This window comes from Homo sapiens, chromosome 1, assembly GCF_000001405.40.
Source record: "Homo sapiens chromosome 1, GRCh38.p14 Primary Assembly".
Lineage (NCBI taxonomy): Eukaryota > Metazoa > Chordata > Mammalia > Primates > Hominidae > Homo > Homo sapiens.
This window is the reverse complement of record NC_000001.11, coordinates 90,756,746-90,764,181: the sequence shown is the minus strand read 5'-3', so window position 1 is coordinate 90,764,181 and position 7,436 is coordinate 90,756,746. Positions and strand designations below refer to the sequence as shown.

The window sequence follows — 7,436 nt, the reverse complement described above, 5'->3', positions numbered from 1 at the left end:
TTCCCAAAAGGTCAGGCATTCTTAGTCACAAGATGAGATAGGAGGTTGGCACAAGATACAGATCACAAAGACCCTGCTGATAAAACAGGATGTGGTAAAAAAGCTGGCCAAAACTCACCAAAATCAAGACGGCAATGAAAGTGACTTCTGTTAGCTGGGCGTGGTGGCAAGTGCCTATAATCCCAGTTACTTGGGAGGCTGAGGCAGAAGAATTGCTTGAACCCGGGAGATGGAGGTTGCAGAGAGCCGAGATTGTGCCACTGCACTCCAGCCTGGGCAACAGAGTAAGACCCTGTCTCAAATAAATAAATAATAAATGAATAAATAAAATAATAAAAAAAAAAGAATGTGACTTCTAGTCGTCCTGGCTGATCATTATATGCTAATTATAATGCATTAACATGCTAAGACACTCCCACCAGCACCATGACAATTTACAAATGTCATGGCAATGTCAGGAAGTTACCGTATATGGTCTAAAAGGAGGAGGAATCCTCAGTTCCAGGGAAATCCCCACCCCTTCCTAGAAAACTCATGAGTAGTCCACCCCCTGTTTAGCATATAATCAAGAAATAACTATAAGTATATTCAGTTGAGCAGCCCACATCGCTGCTCTGCCTATGGAGTAGCCATTCTTTTATTCTTTTACTTTCTTAATAAACTTGCCTTCACTTTACTATATGGACTTGCCCCAGATTCTTTCTTGTGCGAGGTCCAAGAACCCTCTCTTGGGGTCTGGATTGCGACCTGTTTTCATAACACTAGGATTTAAATTACACATCCGGACTCCAAATTCAGTCCTTTTTCCAAAACCTGACAATGTGAGTTTTATGCTTGTTCCCATTTTGCTATGTAGTGGTTAGATGTGTGGTTTGAGACTTCAAGTGTTTCTCCCTTTTAAAAGTGAGAAGATCAGACTAATAATAGAAAGTAGATTTGTCCTCTGTGGTTTCTGGACTCTTTACTCTGAAAAGGATATTGTGAGGATGATGTGAAAACAATAGGAAGATGCAGAAATCCCAGTTTCACTAGTACACAATGCAGTTTATGCCAGTTTTAGAGTTAATAATAGTCCCCTTTCACTCTAAAAATTGTCATAGTTTGGGCAGGGCGCAGTGGCTCACACCTGTAATCCCAGCGCTTTGGCAGACCGAAGTGGGTGGATCACTTGAGGTCAGGAATTTGAGACCAGCCTGGCCAACATGGTGAAACCCTGTCTTTACTAAAAATACAAAAATTACCCGGGCGTGATAGTGGGTGCCTGTAATCCCAGCTACTCGGGAGGCTGAGGCAGGAGAATCACTTGAAACCAGGAGATGGAGGTTGCAGTGAGCCAAGATCACACCACTGCACTCCAATCTGGGCAACAGAGTGAGACTCCGTCTCAATAAAATAAAATAAAAAATAAAAAATGTCATAGTTTGGATGATTAACTATATGATTACTCTAAATATAATACACTCTTAATTGTAGTCATTTAAACTTAGACCAAATTGCACTGACTCCAGACAAATTGTAATCAAACTAGTATTTTTTTAAAAGCAACTGTCACTTTTAAGTGAATGAGTGTCACTCTCATGGGCATAGATAAATAGCCTATCAAAATTGTCCAAGCAGGACCACTTGCAAAGAATTTTCCTGTTTCTCGGAGTATCTGGAATGTGAAATTGACATTCTTTCTTGCAGAAATCTGTCTTATGAATAGCGTTTATTGTTTTTCTTTCTGAGAGCTTGGTGAAAAATGAGTGTGTGTTGGGCTGGGGAGGGAGGGGTAGAAGAGCTCAGGTGACTCTGTCTTTGAATACAGGAGATGTAGCATGGAGATATGCCCCAGGCTTTTTCGGTGCAGAAGGAAGGTGAGTGAACGAGCAGCTCCATAGCCAGCCTGCAGTTGGAATGGGGCCGGAGACTCCTACTTTGGCATCAGCTGCTCCACACTCCCTAGATCAAATATCAGCTGCCAGGACCAACTGGTGCCTCCTGGAGGTCTTTAAAAAATGATTTTCCAGCTGTGAAAGGCTGTGCCATTGTTCTGCTGTTTGGCCACCTTCTCTCTGGCCAGCCCACTGGCAGCAGCCATGCAGGGCAGCCAGAATGAGTCAAATCAAAGGGTGGACAATACAGCAGCCACCCAGCCACCGTCCCTCCTCCCTCGGCTGTCTGATGTCAGATCATCAAAGGCCCTGCATATGGCCCTGTGCTTGCTCTTCATTCACCTCACAGGCCTCTAGAATTTTCACAAGTCAGAGGAGGCGCCAGGAGAAAATTTGCGGCCCCTGAGGGTGCCCTAGGGGTGGTTAATAGCCAGGGAGGGTGACAAGAAAGGGGGAAGTTTAGTGTTCTGCGGATCCCAATTGTTTGGCTAACAGCCGGAGGTTGACCTTGAGCTTGCGTCTGCCACATGGCAGAGGCACCAGCCGGGCAGCATGTTCTGAAGGATCAGGAATAATGGAACTTGAAAATGCAAATGGCTTTAATGAATACTTCTCCCCTTCCACCCCCTACGCCAAAGCTCCGTGTGTTCGAAGAAACCTTTCTCAGTTTACAGCGAAAAGTCACTTACCTCTTGCTCTACATCTAAAAGTACAGTTTCAGCACAAAGATATTTCATAAACAGAGACCCATCCTGTCAAGGCCCCTGCTCGCAGCCTGACTTTCCTAGATCCCAGGGAAGCACCATGTGTCGTGACTTGATCCCAGCTCAGGGCAGTGGCCAAAGGGTGACTACAGACAGAGAACGTGTCTTGGCCTTTTATGAGAACCATAATCTGGAACTGAGAAGGTAAAAGCACTACTGTGGACTTATCTGACACTGGCAATGGGTCCATGTAGAACAGACCGGGCAGCTGTGTGTGCTCCTGGGGCTGCCTGCAGCGTTGCTCCCTCAGTCCAGCCAGGACACAGCGCACCAAGCTGGTACGGAAGGGAGTGGCACCTTATAGCAATTCCTGCTGCTCTGCCTCACTCCACTGCCCCAGACACTGGTATCTCCTTCCTTCTAAAATGCAGATTGGGAGAGAATTGAGGGGCTCACCTTGTGCCTCGTCAATGCTGTTGCTGATTAACTTGACTTTACCTCTAATGATCTATCAGATAGTTGGCCAGGTGGGATTCATCCTTGGCCTTAAATTCTGAGCCCCAGCAGCTTTGGGTGGCGTAATCAACTTCTTTTAAAAAAGAAAATTGCTCCCCTTTATTTCCCATACCTAAATTCTGATCCTGGCACTTGTGGCTCACTTTCAACCCTTAAGGGGTTTGCATATAGGTAGGGAAGCTCGATCTATGTAATACAATGTATGAGATAGAGGAGGCCTATGAAATATGAAAGTGAATGTGGGTTGTCATAATTTTCATCTCCGTATCTCTCAGTTATTCAAAGTGTTCTGTAAACTGTAAAGTAATATGCAAATGTAATCTGTTGTTGCTACAGTTATTTTATTTTTAAAAAAGATAAGCAGCAGTTATTATATTATTTTGTAGAATTGGATATATGAGAAAAATCAAGTGAACACAAAAAGCACTAGCTTTGCCCCATGGCAGTTGTTCAAAATCTGTTTCCAAGGGTCACATTTGTGTGGCATTGTTTGCCCTGAGCTCCACTGTAAAGACAAATTAGAAGTATGCATCATCTTAAAAATGGGCTTTGGAAACAAAGCCAGTTTGGAACAAATTTTAAGGGATGTGATACTAACATTTTCAATTGTAAGCTATACAAACTGCATTAATCAATGGAAAACTATTATTAGATGCAGGGTGTTCCACCATACATTACCTGCTGTATCCTCATAAACAAGCTCTATCTAGGGGGGCTTATTTATAGGCTGTAGAGTTTGCATAAAGAAAGAAAAAAAATAAATTGGAGGCTCTTTGAATATGGCATAGTGATGAGATCTCATTTATTATTACTTTTTAAATCTACATGTCTCTTCAAATGCTTAAATTATTTTTATTGAACAGCAAGCTTAGGCAATGAACCTGGATTTATACAGTTGTTCTTGAAAGGGGCTTTGAAAGTGTTGTGAGGTAATTTTTTCAGAAAGGAAAAACTTAGTTACAGAGCCATAGACCATTGTCCTGAAGGAGGAGGAATTAGTCAGTGTTTCTGTAAAGGTGGTTAACCTGCAGGCAGAAACAACTGCTCAGGACATTTTGCAAATTTACATTTACGTTTGCTGATTCCATATTAAACTGAACAACCAGGCACATAGAAGGAAAAACCCTCTTTTAATTAACCCTCTTGGTGTGGGCCCATGTGATTAAATATGATGGAGCTGCTCCTGGGGTTTCTGCTACTGAAAATACTAACAATAATCATTTGTTTTGTTTTTATATTTAAACACATTATTGCATAGCTTGGTGCAGAGATAATTACCAATTTTATCTCCTGTGTTTTTCTAATGTTCATTAATAACAATAAAGGGTTGTAGGTTAAAAACTCATTTAATTGCCTTTATGTTAATGACATTATGAATAGCCCTAGCTACAAGATTCTAATTCTGTCCAGTATCCTCCTTCTCAGTGGAGCCCCAGGAGGGCTGCTCATTTTATCAGCATTACTGATTCAGAGTTTTTCCTTGCAGGTGGGTTTTTGTACATAATCAGAATTAATGCACAACACATTTTGCAGGGAATGGAGTAGAAGCACTCAGAATAAGTAATTAACTAGAGTGCCCAAGGAAATATGCCGGAGCATTTTTTTTAGCATATTCATAAAACATTAAGAACAGTCATAAACACAGTAGAAACAATTTCCTGGTAATGTGCTTTTAGACTATTTTCTGGCTCCTTTTTTTTCTCACATAGGGAATTTTTTTTTTTAAACTGAAAAATCCCAGGGATGCAAATAAAACGCCCAAAGTGTGGTGCTTTGGGATTAGATGTGCTTCTGTGCTGCTGCAACCAAGCTGGCAGGAGTCTGGGTACCATTCCCCTGTCCCCACCTCCATCACATAATTTATCAGATAGGAACAGGACTGAATGCAGCTTGTAACATCCCAGGAGATGTGATTACTGCCATCCCCCCATTCCCAATCTCTAGAATTAACCTCTTTGCATGGGACAGAATGCCCAGGAAGGAGGAGGGGGCAAGAAGCAAGGGACTATTATAGTGAATGCTGTAGTGACCACCCAGTTCCCCTTAGACTGACACACTCATCCCTCTAGTTCTTGATGGCTGATGGCTCTCAGCTAAGTCACTCTCCTTGGGTTATTAAAATCATGCCCCCATCCCCAACCACAAGCATCCTGCAGAAATATGGTCAATAGGAGAGATTAACAGTCTGTGCAGCCTAGGCAACATAGCAAGACCCCGCCTCTACAAAAAAAATTTTTTTAAATTAGCTGGGTGTGGTGGTGTATGTCTGTAGTTCCAGCTACTCAGGAGGCAGAGGTGGGAGGATCACTTGAGCCCAGGAGGTTGAGGCTGCAGTGAGCCATGATCACATCATTGAACTGCAGCGTGGCCAACAGAGCATGATCCTGTCTCAAAAAAAGTCTGCCTCCTCCCTTGCCTCAAGGTGGTATAATTCACAAGGGCCATCCTGGTATCAGAGTGCCCTGTGGGATTGGGTGAGGTGTTTCTCCTGCATCCCTCATTCCTCACAGATATTGTTCCATAGAGCACTTCCTGATGAATCTCTTATGCACAAATCTCAGAGTCTTTTTCCTGGGGAACCCTGACCTACAACAGACAGGTAAGACACAGTGACAAACTAATCCATCTCCATGCTGACCGGTGGGCACTGAAGCAGTAGATACTCGCAGACCTCTTTGACCTTGGTGTCCTCTTAGGGTGTGTTGGGCACAAAGTGGCAGCAGGAGCAGGGTACAGATACTTCTCCTTCACAGGCAGGTAGCATCACATGACCAAGGCATATGAAACTGTTTTTGAAATCACAGACCTTGGAGTTAAGTGGGTGAGTTCAAATATTATCGTCCATGGCTCTTGGCTAAGTTGCGTATCATCATTGAACCTCGGTTTCCTCATCTGGAAAGTGGAGCTGAGGGCACAGGTAATGTTTGTATGGTGTTCAGCCTAGTGCCCAATATGTAATATGCTCAACAGTTTCGATAGCTTGTTTTTTCCCCTTCTCCATCTTCATACTAGTTTTTCACATGGACAGTGTAGCTCTGGATACTACAAATAATCTTCATTCTTAGCCAGATCAGTTTCTTCAAGATTGAGGTTTCAAATAAGCCTGGTTCAGGGTCTCAAAGAGATATGTATACACCCATGTTCCCAGCAGTATTATACACAATAGCTAAAATGTGGGAGCAACTCAAGTGTATTAGTCTGTTCTCACACTGCTAATAAAGACATAACCAAGACTGGGTAATTTATAAAGAAAAAGACGTTTAATGGACTCACAGTTCCACATGGCTGGGGAGGCCTCACAATCGTGGTGGAAGGCAAAGGAGGAGCAAAGGCACCCCTTACATGGCGGCAGGCCAGAGAGCATTTGCAGGGGAGTTGCCCTTTATAAAACCATCAGATCTTGTGAGATTTATTCACTATCACGAGAACAGCATGGGAAAATCCACCTCCATGATTCAAATACCTCCCACCTGGTCCCTCCCATGACACATGGGGATTATGGGAGCTACAGTTAAAGATGAGATTTGGTTGGGGACACAGCCCAAACCATATCACCAAGTGTCCATTGATAGATGAATGGATAAGCAAAATGTGGTTTGTACATGCAATGGAATCTTTTTTTTTTTTTTTTTTTTTTGAGATGGAGTCTCGCTCTGTCTCCCAGGCTGGAGTGCAGAGGTGCGATCTCGGCTCACTGCAAACTCTGCCTCCTGAGTTTAAGGTATTCTCATGCCTCAGCCTTCCAAGTAGCTGGGATTACAGGCACGCGCTATTGCATCCAGCTAATTTTTGTATTTTTAACAGAGACGGGGTTTCACCCTGTTGGCCAGGCTGGTCTTGAACTCCTGACCTCAGGTGATCCTCCCATCTCGGCCTCCCAAAGTGCTGAGATTACAGGCATGAGTCACTGCGCCCAGCCTGCAATGGAATCTTATTCAGCCTTAAAAATGAAGAAAGTTTTGACACGTACTACAACGTGGATGAACTCAGATGACTTTACACTAAGTAAAATAAGCCAGTCACAAAAAGACATATGCTGTATGATTCCAATTATATGAGGTACTTCGAGCAGTGAAAATCAGAGAGATAGAAAGTAAAATGATGGTTGCCAGGTCTGGGGGAGGGAGAAATGAGGAGTTATTGTTAAATGGGTACAGAGTTTCAATTTAACAAGAGGAAAAGAGCTTTGGAGATGGATGGTGGTGATGGTCACATAATATTATGAATGTATTTAATACCACTAACCTGTATGCTTAAAAATGGCTAAAGTGGTAATTTGTTATATGTATTTTACCACATGAGAAACAATTTGGGAAAACACTGCAATCATAATGAATATGAA

The 7,436-nt window shown here is 42.9% G+C and overlaps 1 annotated feature.

The window, feature by feature from the left end:
• Nucleotides 1,641–2,497: an enhancer, noted in NCBI's record as "NANOG-H3K4me1 hESC enhancer chr1:91227242-91228098 (GRCh37/hg19 assembly coordinates)". NCBI's record gives its function as "activates a minimal SCP1, AML or CMV promoter by ChIP-STARR-seq in naive H9 embryonic stem cells {active_cell/tissue: H9 hESC(naive)}" and the evidence as "EXISTENCE:reporter gene assay evidence [ECO:0000049][PMID:30033119]".